At 54.3% G+C, this 17,567-nt stretch overlaps 2 protein-coding genes across 5 annotated transcripts in view, besides 6 other annotated features; both read right to left on the bottom strand.

Annotated features, from left to right (window-relative positions):
• Positions 1-1,963: 1,963 nt before the first annotated feature.
• On the bottom strand, positions 1,964-8,134 carry EFNB3 (ephrin B3). Its single transcript, NM_001406.4, has 5 exons — positions 7,616-8,134; positions 5,086-5,378; positions 4,809-4,901; positions 4,597-4,701; positions 1,964-4,169 (listed from the first exon to the last, which is right to left on the bottom strand). The coding sequence occupies exons 1-5, from the start codon at positions 7,735-7,737 to the stop codon at positions 3,760-3,762; spliced, it is 1,023 nt and encodes a 340-aa protein (NP_001397.1). The 5' UTR covers positions 7,738-8,134; the 3' UTR covers positions 1,964-3,759.
• Positions 6,865-7,756: an enhancer, noted in NCBI's record as "H3K4me1 hESC enhancer chr17:7608898-7609789 (GRCh37/hg19 assembly coordinates)". NCBI's record gives its function as "activates a minimal SCP1, AML or CMV promoter by ChIP-STARR-seq in primed H9 embryonic stem cells {active_cell/tissue: H9 hESC(primed)}" and the evidence as "EXISTENCE:reporter gene assay evidence [ECO:0000049][PMID:30033119]".
• Positions 8,650-9,541: an enhancer, noted in NCBI's record as "H3K4me1 hESC enhancer chr17:7607113-7608004 (GRCh37/hg19 assembly coordinates)". NCBI's record gives its function as "activates a minimal SCP1, AML or CMV promoter by ChIP-STARR-seq in naive H9 embryonic stem cells {active_cell/tissue: H9 hESC(naive)}" and the evidence as "EXISTENCE:reporter gene assay evidence [ECO:0000049][PMID:30033119]".
• Positions 8,650-10,435: a biological region, named in NCBI's record as "H3K4me1 hESC enhancers GRCh37_chr17:7606219-7607112 and GRCh37_chr17:7607113-7608004".
• Positions 9,441-9,520: an enhancer, noted in NCBI's record as "active region_11644". NCBI's record gives its function as "activates an Ori minimal core promoter by ATAC-STARR-seq in GM12878 lymphoblastoid cells {active_cell/tissue: GM12878}" and the evidence as "EXISTENCE:reporter gene assay evidence [ECO:0000049][PMID:35858748]".
• Positions 9,451-9,745: a silencer, noted in NCBI's record as "tiled region #11187; HepG2 Repressive DNase matched - State 9:DNaseU". NCBI's record gives its function as "represses a minimal TATA promoter and a strong SV40 promoter by Sharpr-MPRA in HepG2 cells {active_cell/tissue: HepG2}" and the evidence as "EXISTENCE:reporter gene assay evidence [ECO:0000049][PMID:27701403]".
• Positions 9,542-10,435: an enhancer, noted in NCBI's record as "H3K4me1 hESC enhancer chr17:7606219-7607112 (GRCh37/hg19 assembly coordinates)". NCBI's record gives its function as "activates a minimal SCP1, AML or CMV promoter by ChIP-STARR-seq in naive H9 embryonic stem cells {active_cell/tissue: H9 hESC(naive)}" and the evidence as "EXISTENCE:reporter gene assay evidence [ECO:0000049][PMID:30033119]".
• The window catches only part of WRAP53 (WD repeat containing antisense to TP53), a 17,432-nt gene continuing 9,698 nt past the window's right edge, over positions 9,834-17,567 (bottom strand). For all 4 annotated transcript variants that reach the window (NM_001143990.2, NM_001143991.2, NM_018081.2 and 1 more), the window contains 7 exons: positions 12,507-12,595; positions 11,787-11,877; positions 11,547-11,679; positions 10,784-10,992; positions 10,490-10,593; positions 10,209-10,343; positions 9,834-10,093 (listed from right to left, as the gene is read on the bottom strand). In NM_001143990.2, coding sequence (NP_001137462.1) covers positions 9,850-10,093; positions 10,209-10,343; positions 10,490-10,593; positions 10,784-10,992; positions 11,547-11,679; positions 11,787-11,877; positions 12,507-12,595 — 1,005 coding nt within the window. In that variant the 3' untranslated portion in view covers positions 9,834-9,849. The remainder of the gene's footprint in view (positions 10,094-10,208; positions 10,344-10,489; positions 10,594-10,783; positions 10,993-11,546; positions 11,680-11,786; positions 11,878-12,506; positions 12,596-17,567) is intronic.

Genomic DNA, 17,567 nt, shown 5'->3' with positions numbered 1-17,567 from the left:
GCTACTTGGGAGGCTGAGGCAGGACAATCATCGCTTGAGCCCGGGAGGTGGAGGTTGCAGTTAGCCGAGATCGCGCCACTGCACTCCAGCCTGGGCAACAGAGCAAGATTCCATCTCAAAAATAAATAAATTAATAAATTAATAAATAAATAAAGCAGCTCCTGGTTACTCTCCATCCTCCTCATCCTGTCATTCTGTTTTGTTTATATCCCTTTTCACACCTGAAATTGTATTATTTCGTTCCCCACCTAAATGTGGACTTTGTGAAAGCGGGGACCTGGCCTTACTCACCCTGTCCTCCCAGCGCCTGAACCGGTGCCTGAAACAAAGTAGCATTTAACATGCTGCTGAGCGAGTGAACGAACAAACCAATGAACAAACAAATGTCTTCCTGTGCCTGTAGTCGTTTTGCTGTAGTTGTTTTGTTGCAGTTGTTACTCTAGGAATATGTGTGTGTATTTGTCCCCACAAAGCAAATAGGACGGCCTGTGTTATTCTGCGTGGAAGTCACCAGCATTTTCAAATAGCTCCAGACACCCAAGTCACTACACATGTGAAAGGCTGTTGGTCTTGTGCTATTCGAGCGGGGCTGCGGGGAGTCTCTGGATGCCAGCGCTCTGAGGGGGCGTGTCCCAGGCGCTGTGCAGTCTGTGCTGTTCCTCTCCCTGGCTGTGCATCTGTCCCCAGGTGTCTTCCTGTCTCTCAGCATGTTATGATGTCTTGGCTGCTTTGGCGAGGTGCTTGTCTGTCACGGAGACTATTTATCCCCACGTCTCTTCCCTCTTGTCTCTCCACCTGTGCCTCTAGATGTAGGTGGAGGGGGAGTCTCCCTGATCTCCCTTGCCCCTCACACACCACCCTGCCCCAGTCTTGGACCCCTCCCTTTCTCAGTGGGCCCTGTTGCTGGGCTCTGGGTTGCCATAGTGACGGTTGCCAAGTCCCTGAGGCTGATAGCCAGCGATGGGGCTGTCGGCTCCATCCACGCGGGAGGCTGAGGGGGGCTTCCCATTGTGTAGAGAAGGGGATGTTGCCATGACAACCAACCCCCACTAAGGGGCAAGGACCAGCCTTTCCACCCCCTACGAGCCTCCCCACTTCGGGCAGCTCCAGTGTGGGCTCAGAAGGCAAGAGTAAATTCCAGACAGCCCAGTACCTGGCCTCCCAGCTTTCAACTCCCCTCCTGCGGTGCCCGCACCTCTCAAGACCCAGGCATCTTGCTCAGACGGGGAGGGGGAGGAGCAGGGGTCCCACTGGACAGAAGAGAGGAAGAGGGACCCCTTGACCTCCAGACAGATGGGAGACAGCGGGAGGGGACCTAAAGTCAGGGGAGGGGCAGGGAGGGCAGAGGTTGTGACCCCTGCTGACTCGCTCCAGTGATGCTCCTGACGGCTGCTTTTGTGGTTGGAGAATGGGGCTAAGTCTAGGGGACTGGGCACCTGGGCTTTTTGGGGGAGAAGAGCCTCGGTTATGGGTATACAGGGAGCCAGGGCACACGCAGCTTGATGCCTGGGTCCCTCCCTGAGTCCTTCCTACTTCCTTCTGATCAGCCACATCCCTTCTCCCCATGAGTCCCCAACAGCAAAACTTCTCAAGTGCCTTGGGTAGGGATGGTAGGGAATAGACTTTAACATGTGAACATGTTTTTACCACTTTGATCCTAATTGCGTCTTACCCTGTCTCTGGTGCTTTGGCTTAGCAAGACACTCAGACTGTCCCCATGGATGAATTGGCGACCCCACTCCTGCCTGCATTACTCTCTCCCTCCCCTAGAGGTGACACCTTCCTCTGCCTTCTCGCCCAGCCCATTTTCGCCTCCCCAAGCACTGCCAACCTCACCACTCCAAACTAGCCCTATCCCTACCCACCCCCCTTGGTTGGTTTCATGCAATCCAACCCTCAGCTGAAAGCCATTCTAACCAAGCCTTTGTCCCAATTCAAGTCCAGTCATTCTCCAGCCTTCTTGTCAACTTTTGAAGTTTTTTATTTTTATTTTTTTTGGTTTTTGTTGTTCAAATTTCCCTTTTACAGTAAAACTACTGAGGTGACGGCATACCCCGCCACCATGGCAATATCAACTTCCTGTTCCCCAGAAGGAGCGATTAGAAAAATCAGGAAGGAGCTGGGAACTACAGCACCAGAGAGGTGAACTTGACCTCTGGTGGACAAAGCAACCATCTTGGCTGGTGATTGAGGTGGCCAACCTGGTGCCCAACAACAGCTTTGATCTAATAAAACTGAGCTGGGAGGAAACTGAGGCAACACCCAATTGCACACTAGAGGGCAGGAAGAGGTATCAGCTGGTCACTATGGAAACAGTGGCCTTTGCTAAGTACCACTGTCAGCTAGACCAGCCAGTAGGCCACCATTTTGGTCACTAAGAAGGGAACTGTGTTGAGTCTGAAAGGAGTCAGAAATGTAGGATGGAATGAACAAGACAGCCATCTGGGTTACTCGGGAGAGCACATGGGTTCTTGGGGTAGTCCTGTTGATTAACAGAGATTATACTGGGATATGGAAAGGAAAGAACAAGACAAATTAGGCCTGCCACAGCACATGGCAGTCATCTTAGCTGTCCTAAAATCAGCACAGAGCACAAGGGAAGGGAGATCTTGGGAAGTGCCACTGAAGACTGGGAAAAGTCCTTCTCGGTCCACCTCTAACCTCTTACAGTCAGTAAGTTCCAGCTTCCTCCTGAAAGGAAGTTCTTCCCGCCCTTCTTCTCCACAGAATAAGAACCATCCACCTCCCACCTCCTGATCCCCCAGACTAAGCCACTTGGAGTTCCAGCCAGACCACTTCCTGTTTCAGAAGTGCTACTTCCTGTCCTGGATGAAGGCACTTCCAGTTCCTGCTGCACTGCTTCTGCTACTTCCCAGGCCATTTCTGTCCGGGCCTGGTCACCTCTTGTCTGGAGCAAGTCACTTCCGGTCCCAAGTGGCCCATTCAGCATCAGACCAAGTCCATACATGTCCCGACCGGTTCATATCTTGCTATTGGCCACTGGACAAAACGGGACACTTCTTCTCATGGTAGCTGTCATGACCCAACCACCCCAAATGGCTGGAGTAAGTATGTAGAGGCCTGGGCCAGGCCAGAGAATGGAGCCCTGCTGCCCATGGCCTGAGCTGGGGTGGAGTGTCAGAGCCTTCCCCATAAGGCCCCCATTTTTGGCAGACTGAGGGGAGTGGTTGGTATGAGAGGTCAGAAGGGGGGCTGAAAGCTAAGGGGAGAAATGCTTTGATGCCCCCACCCAGGAGATGGGAGAGGCACAGGATAAGAAGCCAAGAGGGTGAAAGGAGATGTGGGGAGGAGGATGCTAGGGAAGAAGAACAGACCTAGAGACGGAAGAGAGGGAAAGAATAAGAGATAGAGAAGAGAAAACCAGTGAGAGGCAGAAAGAAGGCGGTGCCAACCAAAAGGTGGGCTGTTCCCGCCCCTAGCTCTGGGTGGGTGAGGGGGACAAGGATGCCTGGGTCATGGTCAGAGAGGAGGCTGAGCCTGTGCCCCTCCCCAAGGAAAAAGGATCCAGGGACACTGAGACAGAGGGGGGCACCCATGGCCAAACGGGAGGGCAGGAAGTGGGGCAGTGGGAATCCTAAGGAATCCTAAAAGTGGAGACGAGGACAGCAGCCGGGAGGAGTGAAGGGGCTGGGGGGGCACAGGGGGCCGAGATGTTAGAGGTGTCCCTCAAACCAGGAATTAAACTGGAGGAGCACCCCAAGAAGGGCTGGATTCAGGATAGCCACGTGAGAGGAGCCCTCATACCTTGTAGTAGATGTTTGGAGGGCTCTGGGGGGGCCCATCCTGCACGATATACACAGGATGCCCATAGTCACCACTCACCTTCTCATAGTGGGGGCAGAAGGGGGGATCTGCAGCCCCGCCACCCCGCAGAGCTATCCCTAGCTCCCCAGGCTCAGCCTCCCGAGGTCCCATCCCACCTCCACCCCCCAGGCCCAGAGACCCTCCCCTCCCGAAGGAGCCAGGACCAGGGTGGCGACTCTCCGAAGGCTTGGCCCGCCGTCTCCGCCAACACATGGCACCCCCAGCCCCTGCCACGCCCAGCAAGAGCAGCGCCAGCCCCCCTGCTGCCCCAGCCACTGCAGGCATGCTGGGAGGGGGCAGGGGGCCTTCAGCACCCCGGGAGGTTGCATTGCTGGTGGGGTCACCTGGCAGGGAAGGGGTGAAGGAGGAAAGAGGGGGAGGGACTGAAGGAGCCACCTGGGCACCTGGACACCCAACCCTGGGGGTCCCCATGGGCTTCCCTTGTAGCGCCCAGGCCCCTTGGGGACCCCATCTCTCCTCCCCCTCCGAACTCTGCTCAGAATCCAGGTGTCCAGCCCTTCAGCTTCCTGCCACGGAGTCCTCCCCACTTCTCTGACAGCACTGATTGAAGCACTGACTTGGCTAATTAGTTCTAATTGAGTCTTTTCCTCATTTGGTTTCCATTCCCCTCCCACCCTCCCATCCTCTCTTCTCCTCTTTCCTGTATCACCGCCCCCAAAACTGAAGAGGGAGGGAGGGTGACGGCAGGGCAGCTGGGGTCTGAGAGCAGAGGAAGCTGGGGAAGGCAGGGGCCTAGCCCCTGGTTCCTACCTGGCAGGTTCTCCTTCCCAGGCTCCAGGCTGTGGGCTGCCCCTCGGTCTCTTTCCATGGGCATTTCAGACACAGGTTTTCGGGGGACAGCCCCTCCTCGGGGACCTGGAGATGAGGAAGACCCAGAGAGGGGCTGAGACAACTGCCCCAACCATGATCGTACTGCCCCAACGTCCCTTCGTGCCCAGGAGGTGTCCCCCAGCCCCACTCACTTTGTCCCACTCGGAGAAGCACCTTCATGCCTCTGGTTAGGCACACACCTCCCTGCAGGCTCTCCAGGCCCTCCCGGGTCCCATCCGATGTGGCTGGGAGAGAAAAGCCAGAGGAAGAGGTTGGCACTCCAGAATCTAGCCCTGATTCTGGCCCCACACCCTGGTGTGAACACTGCCTGAGGGCACTGGGATCTCCCTCTTGGCTGCAGGGGTCCCCCTCCCTCTCTGCTCAGTATCAGGAGCCCCCCACTCAATCGTGCCCTCTGCCCAGCAGTACCAATGATGTAGTAATCGTGGTGCGAGCGGAACTCGTGGCCCCAGAGATTAGGGCTATACTCCTGGAACTTGATGGTGAAGCGGAGATCCAGGTCTGGGCGATCACAAGTGAGAAGGAGGTTTGGGGCAGGGGGTGCCTCACAGCGCCGGCCCTGAGCACCCCCTACCAGGTACAGCTTGTAGAACTCATAATTAGGAGAGGAGTGAGGGCCAGGAGGCCGGGCCCGGGGGCAGAGCAGGTCTAGCCGGTCCCCGATCTGAGGGTACAGCACATAACCACCCTCTGCCTGGAACCTATGGGGAGGAGGGTAAGGTGGACAAGGAAGAGATGTCAGAGGCCTGGCCCCCAGAACTTTCCTTCCCTCACCCCACAACCTTCCAGGACAGCAATTCTCAGCTCACGCTTGCCCGCCTTTGTCTGAGTGGAAAGTCTCTTCTTATAGAGCAGGCACCAAGGACTCTGTGCATTCACATTGGAAGCAGCAGGAAGCCAGGCTCAGGGGTCTCCTGCCCCTTGGTGTGCCCAAATGCACTCCACTCTTCAGCCCGCCCTCACCACATGCACACCGCCATCTCCCGCTCCATCACCAGCCCCGTTGCCATGGCAACAGGATGCCAGTTACCAAGGAGCTGGCCTCTCTGGAACCACACAGCCCACCCCTCCCAGGTGATTTCACTATTCCATGGCAGCCAACCATGCGGGCAGAGCCTCCCCTCCTTCAGGCCACCACTGAATTTCAGGGATTTCCGGGCAAAGGGGGCGGCGGTTCAGGGAGGGGCTGTGTGGAGGGTGGTCCAGACCAGTGTCCTAAGTTAGCCAGCTAATAGCACAGAAGGCAAATGCCTGGTTTGGCCACGACCATCATTGGGGCTGATGGGAACCAGGGTCTAGGAACCTGCTGCCTGAGTCATTCTCCCACTCAGAATCCCACACTGGGTCTTAGACTTCTGGGGCAAGTGCTCTATTGCTTTGGAAAGGAAAGGAGTTGACTTTTCTAACCACAACCAACACACTTCACCATCTCCTTGGCCAGTGCACCCAGGCATCCACTGTCCCAGCACAGCCACAACTTGCCAACCCCTGCAGCCCCTTCCTGGACATCAATAGCTGCTGAGACAGGGTCTCAGGACTGGGTCCCAGGGGACTGCTACTTGATATCTTCCCAGACTCCCAAGTGTCCCACTCCCACCCCACATCCGAAAGAGCCCCCAGGACACCCTAACTCCCTTTTCTCTACCCTGTGAAAACAAGCTTATGTTCTCAAGCTACACACCTGATACTCACATTGCAGCTGGGAGTTGGCAGGTGGGTGACTGAGTACAGAAAAGACATTGAGATTATACCCAAAGAGATCCAGGGAAAAGAGAGGGAGGGATGGCAGAGCAGAGAAGTGTGAGGGAGGCTGGGAAGTAAAGAGAGGAACAATAATCCTAGCTCTCCTTTAATGAGCACATAATACATTCAAACACCTTACCGCTAATCCTCATAATAGCTGTAAGGATTGAGGATACAAACTCAGAAAGGTTAAGTGACATGCCCAAGGCCACACAGCTGAAAGCGGCAGAGCTAGGATTAAGACCAAAGATTTGATGAGCTCCAAAGCCCACCCCCTTCCCATGGCCTCACACAGTCTCCCCAGGGAAGTAGGAATTTTTCAAAACACAGAACTCTTTTATGAGCGGGAAGTGGGATCCGCATGTAGGCAAGGGACCCAGGTGACCTCCCGAAGGTTCTGTCCTACCCAGCGTGGCTTGAAGTTTCATCTGACCCCTGGCCTCTTTTCAGAGCAAAGCTGGCATGCCATGGAACAGAGGGTCTGATGGAAGAGTTTGCAGCAAAGATTGGGGGAGGGGGCAATGGAGTCCTCCAGATGCAAAAGGGAAGGAAGGAGGGTTCAGGGGGCTCCAGGCTTCTTCCAGCAAGATGCCGGCAAGCCAGGAAGGCAGGAATATGTTCTGGCTGGGAAATCGTTCAGCCAACAGTTCACTGACCCTCTGGCTGTGGGGAAGAGTTGGGAGACAGACTGTGAAGAGAGTCAAGGAGCCTTGGGGAAGTTGTCCCCAGAGCCCCCAAACGGAACCCCCTTGCCTCCCATCTCGGATGCGCAGTCCCTCTGGGGGAGGGAGGCACCCTGCCCTGCCTTCCCCTCAGCGACTCGCAGCACCTAATCTGCAGCTCTCTCCTGAGAGCTGACAGTAACCAGGCTCCCTCCAAGCCCAGCCCCCGACGCAGGCCTCCCACAGATCCAAATACCCACCTCACTGCCCTCCCGGCTACCCATGAACTTTCTTCTCCTTGCCCCTTTGGGGTCTCCAAACTCCTGACATCCATAGCACCACCCGCATCCAGCTCTGCGTGGGACCCGGAGTCTGGCTCCCAAGATCACCTGTCTAGTAACCCATCACACATCAGAGCACCAGCACCTTCCCTCCCGCCTCCTCCCTGCCCACAGAAGCCCGCCTCCAAGCCCCCAGAGCTTCCCTACCCACTGCCCTAGGGTCTGGGATCTCCCCAGCCGCAGGCCACTCACCTCTTATTCGCCGAGTTCCAGTAGACAGGCTCCAGGCTGAGCCCAGACACCAGCCCCAAAACCCCCAGCAGCAGCAGGGCCCCGACTCGCACGCCCCCCGGCCCAGAATGGGGGGGCCCCATGACCCCGCCAAGGCCTGGGGGGCGGGGCACCAACTCCCCCAAAGTCGCCCACCCCCCGGGGTGGCTGCCTTGGCTGCCTGGCTCTTCAGCCCGGACCACCCCGGTAGCTGATGCCCCCAGCGCCCACGCGGACCTGCTTCCTGCTGTGCCCGCGCCCCCGCGGCAGAGCGCTCAGCCCCACCAGAGCCCTTCCAGGGGCCGTCTGCAGGCGCCCTACGCGCCCCCGGCCCACGCGCCAGCACCCCGGGATCTGTGAGCCCGCCTAAGTGGGGGACTGGGGGAGCCGGGGACCGGGCGGGGGCGGCATGGGGCGCCGGACCAGGGAGCGAGGAAGGGGGCGCCGAGCCGGAGCCCCAGCCTCGCTGGGATTGAGGGCAGCGGGCTAAGGGAGGAAACCAGTCCCGAGCCCAGGAGGGGGGAGTTAAAGGAGAGGCGGGGAGGGGCAGAGGATGGTGGAGGGAAAAACCGGAGCTGGAGCTCGAGGCGGAGCGGGCGGCAGCATCCCGCGGCCCACGCCCCCCACACCTCCCTCACCTCGCGCACCTCCCGCCCGCCGCCCCGCCTCAGCCCCCGGCGCGGGCTGTCACGCCCCCTTTGTCTCTCCGAGCCTCTGGCTCCGGCTGAGTTCTGCCCGGCTCCCCTCCTGCCCTCCGATCGCCCAAGCTGCTGGAATCTTCCTCTCTCGAATCCAGAAAGGCTCTCGCCCTCTCCACCCCGAGGAACCCACCCCTTTCGCTCCCGCAGCCTCCTCCTCCATCCCAAAACAACACCGCTGCTCCCGGCAGGTTTGGAGAGAATAATAATAACCTTGAAGGCTTGGCGCTTTACAAAGTGCGGCGGAGCTGATCGTCACGACTACCTGTGTGAAGTGGGAGGGGCAGAGCTAACGATCCCATTGCAGAGATGAGGAAACTGAGGCTCAGGGAGGCCCCGTGACTTGCCCAAGGTCACACAGGAAGTCTGGGATAAAGCTAGAAACCAAACCCAGGCTGCGCACCTCCCACTCTTGGGGTCTCTTTTGTCACTGCTCCATGGACCAAGTGCTGTTGTTACCTGGGGGTTAGTGAAAAACAAGAGTTTAGGGGATACACTTGGGTCTTTCCTAGATGGCTGGGGGGAGAAGCGGGGCTGGGAGAAGAAGGGGCGTACCTACAACCCCAAACCGGCGCTGCGCAGGAAGGGCTGTTTCCAATTATCCTGGGGGAAGGGAGGAGTTGCCTTTTCGGGTGTAAGAGCCCTGGCTTTCAGCACCTCTGGGCAGGGGTGACATTCCTCTCCCTCTCAAGCCTCCCCAGGCCTTTCGTCCCTTCCCTTTGATTGTGAGGTCCAAAATCACATCCCCTGCTGGCAGTATTTCTTCAAAGTCCCCCCATTCTCAGTGTTTGGGAAGGTGTTGGGGGGAGGAGGGAGGAGTCACTGCTTCAAATGACACACTCGTCCCCCACCCCCAAAGACAGAGCAGACAAATGGAGAAACAAGCCCAGCGACAGCCGCTGAATGAATAAGACCCTCGCCGCGCCCCGCATGGAACAGCAATATCAAAGGTGACGACTGTATTTTTCAACACCTTTACTCTTTTATGTGTGTCCTTGACTCTGGCAACTGGGTTGTCTGCCTCCTGGGGAGCCCCGGGGAGCGGAGGAGAGTGCTCCTGCTCCCCTCAGAGCTGAGTAATGGTCCCCATGCTGCTGGAGAATGGCAAACAGTGTGGAGTGTGGGCGACAGGCGCCCTGTCACTGTCTGCACAGTCTCACACGGTCACACCCAACAGTCTGACCCAGCTCCTGCTCAGCCCCGCTCACCCTGACCCCTGCCGCCCCCACCTTGGGAGTGAGATTTCAAACAGGTTTCCCCCTTCAGTTTACCAAGTTGCCTAGCAACCAACCAGTCAATGGCATGAAGCCCCACCCCCACCCACTTGACTTCACACCAAGCTCAGCCGCCCCATTGGCTCCTGCCTGGTCCCACCTCTCAACGCCTGGTTTCAGGACCAATATGCCATACCCACTGCTGCTGGACCAGGGAGCCCGCCAGTCCCCCTGCCTGGTCCCCCACCTCACTCATATGCCCCCCCAAAACAGACACGAAGACTCTAGTATCATAAAAACCTTTTTATATCAGCTCACCCACACCTCCCTCCGTTCCTCCCTGCCCTTTCTCGCCCTGGTGATCATCAGGGATGCTGGAGTCTGGCGCCCCCCCACACCACCAGAGCTGAAGCCGACATTCAAGGTGGACGTGGCGCGTGGAGAGCAAGGGAAGGCCCAGCTCCTCTCCTTCGTCCCCACTCTCTGTGGGCTCAGGAAACACACGCTGACCGGAGGCAGTGGCCAGGAGAGGCAGGCTAGGGTGCAGGCTGAGGGAGAGATGGGGAGGGTCTATCAGTGCCTTCAGTGAGGACACTTGCTCCCTCTGGGATTCACCTCCCTCCCCAACCCAAGCCCCAACATCTCTGGAATTGAACTGAGGACCTCACGCCATTGGTGCAGTCCTTCTGGGGCAGAAAACTCAACACGGGCTCCGGCTTCCCATCATTGCCAGGCCCGTCCGTGTCCCACACAGAGACAGCCCCGCTCGTGCTGCCACTCACTAGGAACTGCCCGGTCCTGCGAGAGAGAGGAGAGATTTGCTGGCAGAGGCCTCACCCCTGGGGCAGGAACCCCTCACACCCAGGGACTGGGACCCTACAGCTGGGCTCTGGCATTCCTAGGCTTATCAGGGCCCTGTGTAGGAAGGAGTCACAGCCACTCACGGGTCCAGATCGAAGTAGATGCGCTGATTGGTGGTCACCTCTCGACCCAGGGACCACAGTGGGTAACCAGACTGCCGGAGATCCCAGCACAGGAGCTCAGCATCCTGGAGACAAGGAACAGGACCTGGAGTCACCCCCAAAGCCCTGGATGTCCCTGCCTCCCTCGGGGTCTCCAGGCACTCCTTCAGCTTGGGATTTTTTCCCCATCCCCACCCATTCCCCTACACTGCAGACTACATCCCTGCTCCTGCCCCGCTGCCCAGCTGCTTTGGGCTCTCAGGGTGTGACCCCTACCTTGCGGGCTCCTGAGAAGAAGCGGTTGCCATCGGGATGAAAGCAGAGGTGGGTGATGCCCCCTTGGTGCCCTCCCAGCAAGGCGAGAGGGGAGCCATCATCCCAGGCATACAGACCCAGGGAGCGGCCGTAGGAGCCACAGGCATAGAGGGGCTGGGCTGGGCTGAAGGCTATGCAGGAGATGATGCCGCTCTGGCCCTGCTTTTTTGCTAGAGAGGGAAGGAACAAAGTGGGGGAGGGGGCAATGGCTCCTGGCACTAACCAGGCTAAGCAGAGGTCTGTCTCCCGTCCCAGCACCAACATGCTTGGACTCAACATCCCCCCCATGCTGTCTGTCACAAGCAGGACAAAGACCTCTGATGCTCCCCACATCTATCCTCCCAAAGGACCTAAATGCCCAAGCCCCACTTCATCCCTCTCAAATCCCAGTTCTTCCTTGGAGAGATGCAAGTTGAAGGCCTACAGGAAAACGGAATCAGCTTTATCAACAATTTTCTAGAAAGATTTCAGAGACCAAAAGCTCCACAGCTGACAGGGTATGAGTTCAGGAAGGAAGCAGTCCTTTGACCAGCTGGTTGGCCTTGGGAAGGTTTCCTACCTGCTCTGAGCCTGTTTGCTCCTCTGCCGACTGGGCTGCACCTGCTCCCGGGGCCGTACAGAGGACGGCGTGAACCCCCACAGGTGGCCCCCGGCTCACAAAAGGCCCCTGTGCAGGTGGCAGTGCCCTTCCCTCTCCTCCTCCCTTGGAGGCACAGATGCTTACCAAATGTGGCTCGGACCTCGCAGTCTCGGCCAGGCCGGGCCGTGGAAAAAACACGCACAGTCCGGTTGAAGCCACAGAAGAGCTGGGAGCCATCCGGGGAGAAGCAGAGCGAATGGGCTGCCGTCAGCTCATCCTGGGGGAAGGAAAGGGCTGAAAACAGGTCTTGCAAAGCCTCAGCTGCCCTCAAGGAAGGAGAGCCGGGCCAGTACGAGTGCTGGGGCTGAGTATGGCGGTCCCTACCAGGTGGTTGTAGGCGCGAAAGGAAGCCCGGAGCTCTCCAGTGAATGCGTCCCAGATATGAATCGGGTTCTCCCGGCTGCTGCTGGCCACGCTGAGAGAGACATGGACACTGAAACCCCGGTGCTGTCAAAGGAAGGGGAGGAATGGCCGGGCACAGTGGCTCATGCCTGTAATCCCAGCACTTTGGGAGGCCAAGGCAGGTGGATCACTTGAGGTCAGGAGTTCGAGACCAGCCTGGCCAACATGGTGAAACCCTGTCTCTACTAAAAATACAAAAATGAGGCTGGGTGTGGTGGCTCATGCCTGTAATCCAAGCACTTCAGGAGGCCAAGGCAGGTGGATCACCTGAGGTCAGTTCGAGACCAGCCTGGCCAACGTGGTGAAACCCCATCTCTATGAAAAATACACAATTAGCTGGGTGTGGTGGTGCACACCTGTAATCCCAGCTACTCAGGAGGCTGAGGCAGGAGAATCACTTCAACCTGGGAGGCGGAGGTTGCAGTGAGCTGAGACTGCATCACCGCCCTCCAGCCTGGGTGACAGAGGGAGACTCAATCTAAAAAAAAAAAAAGGAAGGGGAGGAAGCCAACTGACCAGCCCCTCTGATAAGCATGCCAAGCCTTCCTCCTCCAAAGACCCCTGGCAGCCCTTGACTCTCCCAAGAGGCCCTGCTTGAAACTGGGTGGTGGGGCGGCGAGCAGGGAGGCAAACATTACTTACTAGGAGGTGTCTGGCTGGGCTGAGGACATCAGAGAATACCAGCAGTAATCATAGATGGTATCACCTTCCACCATTCGAAGGACAGGGACCTATACAGAGACGGGGGAATGGCTGAGTCACTCGGAGGGAAAAGGAGTCTGAGGCGCGTGCCTCTAGCAGTGTTGTGGCAGATGGGGTGTATATATGGAGCACAGACTCTGTCTCAATGTTCAAGGGTGAGCTCAGACTTTAATGTCAAATTTAGCCACCAAAAGCCATATAGATTCATACTTTTTTTTTTTTATTATTTTGAGACAGAGCATGCACCACCATGCCTGGCTAATTTTGTTTTTGTTTTTTTTTTTAATAGAGACAGGGTTTCACCATGATGTTGGCCAGGCTGGTCTCAAACTTCTGACCTCAGGTGATCCACCCGCCTCAGCCTCCAAAAGTGCTGGGATTACAGGTGTGAGCCACCGTGCCGGGCCTTATACTTTTTCTTTATAAACACTTAGAGAGGAAGAAACAAATAATAATACCTCAACCCAGAGACAAAGAACCAACCAATTATTCAAATACTTACTGAGTACATGCTAGGTGCCATTTGATCCTTTAAAAAAATATTAGTACAAAAATTTGCCAGGCGTGGTGGTGGACACCTGTAATCCCAGATACTCAGGAGGCTGAGGCAGGAGAATCCCTTGAACCCAGGAGACAAAGGTTGCAGTGAGCTGAGATCGCACCACTGCACTCCACCCTAGGTGACAGAGAGACAGTGCCCCCCAAAAAAAAAAGAAAAAGAAAAGAAAAAAATTATCGGCTGAGCACAGTGGCTCACACCTGTAATCCCAGCACTTAGGGAGGCTGAGGCAGGCAGATCACTTGAGCCCAGGAGTTCAAGACCAGCCTGGGCAATATGGTGAAACACTGTCTCTACAAGAAAAAAAAATTAGCTGGGCATGGTAGTGCATGCCTGTAGTCCCAGCTACTAGGGAGGCTGAGGCATGAGAATTGCTTGAGCCCAGGAGATAGAGACCACAGTGAGCTGAGATCATTGCCACTGCACTCCAGCCTGGGCAACAGAAACACTGTCTCAAAAATACAAAAATGGAAACAAAAAAACCTCCTTACAAAAATAAAGAAAAAAAATTAAACAGTTCAAACATACAAAGTATCTTATTAAAAAAACAGCCCTGTGACCCCTCCATCCAGCTGAACAAAAAGATATGTTTAAACCCCTTTCCTAACAGAAACTCTCCCTCAGAGGTAAACACTATCTTGAATTTATCACTGTCATACATTTCCTTAGGAATATATATATATATATAAATATATATATATATATATAAATATATATATATATATATATATATAAATATATATATATATATAAATATATATATATATATAAATTTTTTTTTTTTAATTTTAAAGGCAGAGTCTCACTCTGTCACCCAGGCTGAGTGCAGTGGCACGATCTCAGTTCACTGCAACCTCCACCTCCCAGGTTCAAGCAATTCTTGTGTCTCAGCCTCCCGAGTAGCTGGGATTGCAGGAGTTCACCTCCATGCTCAGCTAATTTTTTGTATTTTTAGTATAGACAGGGTTTCGCCACGTTGGCCAGGCTGGTCTCGAACTCTTGGCCTCAAGTGATCTTTCTGCCTCAGCCTCCCAAAGTGCTGGGATTACAGGTGTGAGCCACTGCGCCCAGCCTAGGAGTATATTCATATGGGAAAAAAAACAGTATCTAACGTTGTCTTGCAGGTCTTTAGACTTAATTTTTTCTTTTCTTAGAGACAGGGTCTTACTCTGTTGCCTAGGCTGGAGCACAGTGGCGCAATCATCTCACTGAAACCTCAAACTCCTGGGCTCAAGCAAACAATCCCCTGGCCTCAGCCTCCCTAGTAACTGGGAATATAAGCATAAGCCACCATACCTGGCTTATTTATTTATTTATTTATTTATTTATTTATTTTTGACGGAGTCTCGCTCTGTCGCCCAGGCTGGAATGCAGTGGCACAATCTTGGCTCACTGCAACCTCTGCCTCCCAGACTCAAGCAATTCTCTGCCTCAGCCTCCTGAGTAGCTACGATTACAGGCGCCTGCTATCACGCCCGGCTAATTTTTTTGTATTTTTAGTAGAGACGGGGTTTCACCATCTTGGCCAGGCTGGTCTTGAACTCCTGACCTCGTGATCCACCCACCTCAGTCTCCCAAGTGCTGGGATTACAGGCATGAGACACCACGCCCAGCCTGCCCGGCTAATCTTTAAAATTATTTTTTTGTAGAAACAGGGGTCTGTGTTGCTCACGCTGGTCTAAAACTCCTGGCCTCAAGCAATCCAGCCACCTCAGCCTTTCAATGCACTGGGATTACAAGCATGAGCCACCATGCCCGGCCTAGACTTAACAGTAATGGTATTATATCATATACATCCCTCTGTGATAGCAAGCTTTAACCATGGAAACACATTTTGCTCTAATTCATGCATTTTCACTGGTGTATAGTACTCTACTCATGAATATATTCAAACTGATCTACCCTTCTTCTATTTAGAATCACTGATGTTTTTCTGTTTTTTGGCTAGTGTGCTTTAACATTCTGTACACATGTAGAAGGGTTTCTCTACAGTTTCTGCTGAAGAGTAAAATTACTGGTCTCTACGCTATGCACTTTGCAAACTTTGTAAGATACTATAATGTCAATTTCTTTCCCAAAGCACTTGTCCCAATGTCCTCTCCCACCAGCAGTGTATAAGAGTCTCTATTCTAGCCTGGGCAATATAGCAAGACCCCAGTTTTACAAAAAATTAAAAAATTAGTCAGGCATATTGGCATACTTGTAGTCCCACCTGTTTGGGAGAGTGAGGCAGGAGGACTGCTTGACCCCAGGAGTTTGAGGCTACAGTGTGCCATGTTCGCACCACTGCACTCCAGCCTGGGCAACAGAACAAGATCCTGTCTCCAAAAAAAAAAAAAAGTGTCTATTGTTCTTTATCTTCTTGGTATTGCCAGACTTTTACATTTTTCTCAATTTGAAGGTGGTGAAATGGTATTTCATTACAGCATAAATTTGTATTTCCATCATTACTATAAGAGAGATTAGATATTTCCTCTATGTTTACTGGCCATTTAGTTAGGTACACCTTTTCATAAATTTTGCCCATTTTCTTTTTCTTTTTTTTTCTTTTTGAGACAGAGTCTTTCTCTGTTCCCCAAGCTGGGGTGCAGTGGCACGATCTTGGCTCACTACAACCTCTGCCTCCTGGGTTCAAGCGACTCTCATGCCTCAGCCTCCCAAGGAGCCGGGACCACAGGCATTTGCCACCACGCCCGGCTAATTTTTATACTTTTTAGTAGAGATGGGGTTTCACCATGTTGGCCAGGCTGGTCTCAAACTCCCAGCCTCAAGTGATCTGCCTACCTCGGCCTCCCAAAGTGGGGATTACAGGTGTGAGCCACCATGCCTGACCAGTTGTTGTCTTTTTCTTTTCTTCTCTTTTTTCTTTTTCTTTTCTTTTTTTTTTTTTGGAGGCAGAGTCTCCCTCTGTCCCCAGGCTGGAGTGCAGTGGCACGATCTCGGCTCACTACTACCTCCACCTCCCAGGTTCAAGCAATTCTCCTGCCTCAGCCTCCTGAGTAGCTGGGATTACAGGCGCCTGCCACCACACCCGGCTAATTTTTGTATTTTTAGTAGAGACGGGATTTTGCCATGTTGGTCAGGCTGGTCTTGAACTCCTGACCTCGGGTGATCCACCTGCCTCGGCTTCCCAAAGTGCTGGGATTACAGGCATGAGCCACCATGCCCAGCCGTCTTTTTCTTACTGATTTGTGAGAGATAAATAGTCTGGACACTGTCCTTCGTCAGTTGTCTTCTGGGCCTCAGGCTGATGTCAACCAGCCAGGACTTCAGTGTCCACCTCTATACTCTGAACCCATATATCCAACTGCCTGGTGGACAGTGCCACTTGATCATCCCACAGGTTCCTCAAACTCAATTTGTCCATAATAGGCCCGGCATCCACCACCATCAAACCTGCTGTTCCTCCTGGACTCCACACCAGTGCTCAATCCTGAAATCTGAGCACCAGCCTTGACTGCTACCACTCTTCACTTCCTTTCCACTCCTGGTCCAACCCAATACCAAATCTTGCCAGTTCCTCCTCCTAGTCTTCCATTACCACGTGCTACCCCCGACCCACCTCTCAAGGCTTATCTCTATCTGCTAATTCCCATAAAAATCTCTGAGTCCTGACCGGGCGCAGTGGCTCACGCCAGTAATCCCAGCACTTTGGGAGGCCAAGGCGGGCGGATCACAAGGTCAGGAGATCGAGACCATCCTGGCTAACGTGGTGAAACCCCGTGTCTACTAAAAACACAAAAAATTAGCCAGGCGTGGTGGCGGGCGCCTGTAGTCCCAGCTACTCGGGAGGCTGAGGCAGGAGAATGGCGTGAACCTGGGAGGCGGAGCTTGCAGTGAACCCAGATCGCGCCACTGCACTCCAGCCTGGGCGACAGAGCAAGACTCCATTTCAAAAAAAAAAAAAAAAAAAAAAAAAATCTCTGAGTCCCGCCATTTTGACTCTCAGGTCCCATAAAGTGCCAACTCGCCACACTTTCAACCCACTGGCTTTCACATGTCCTAGGCTCCAAGTCTGGAATATTCTTCCTTCATCTCCCCCAACGACTCCTCCTGGCTGAATCCTAGTCATCCTTCAGGTCTCTTAGATGCTTCTTCCTCTGGGAACGCTTCCCTAACCCCTCCAGCTAAGCAAGGCGCCCCTGTTCCTCTTTCCTATAGCCCCTGGTGCTCCTCACTCCCCTTCCGTCATACCTATCAGAGAAGGAGGGAATCACATCTGCCTCGCTCTCACCACTGCTTCCCCAACACGTGGTGCAGAATAAGCAGAGTCAACAAATACGGTTTTAATGAGCAAAAGGAGGCAGGAGACTGTTTCAGCAACATAAGGCCCAAAATAATAGGACCTTGAATTAAAGTAGAGGCAGTGGGAGGGACAGATGTGGGTGGATTAGGAAGATTAGGCAGACTTGATGGGATTTGGGAAGTAATTGGATGTGAGG

This window comes from Homo sapiens, chromosome 17 (assembly GCF_000001405.40).
Source record: "Homo sapiens chromosome 17, GRCh38.p14 Primary Assembly".
Classification (NCBI taxonomy): Eukaryota; Metazoa; Chordata; class Mammalia; order Primates; family Hominidae; genus Homo; species Homo sapiens.
This window is presented reverse-complemented; position numbering and strand designations above follow the sequence as displayed.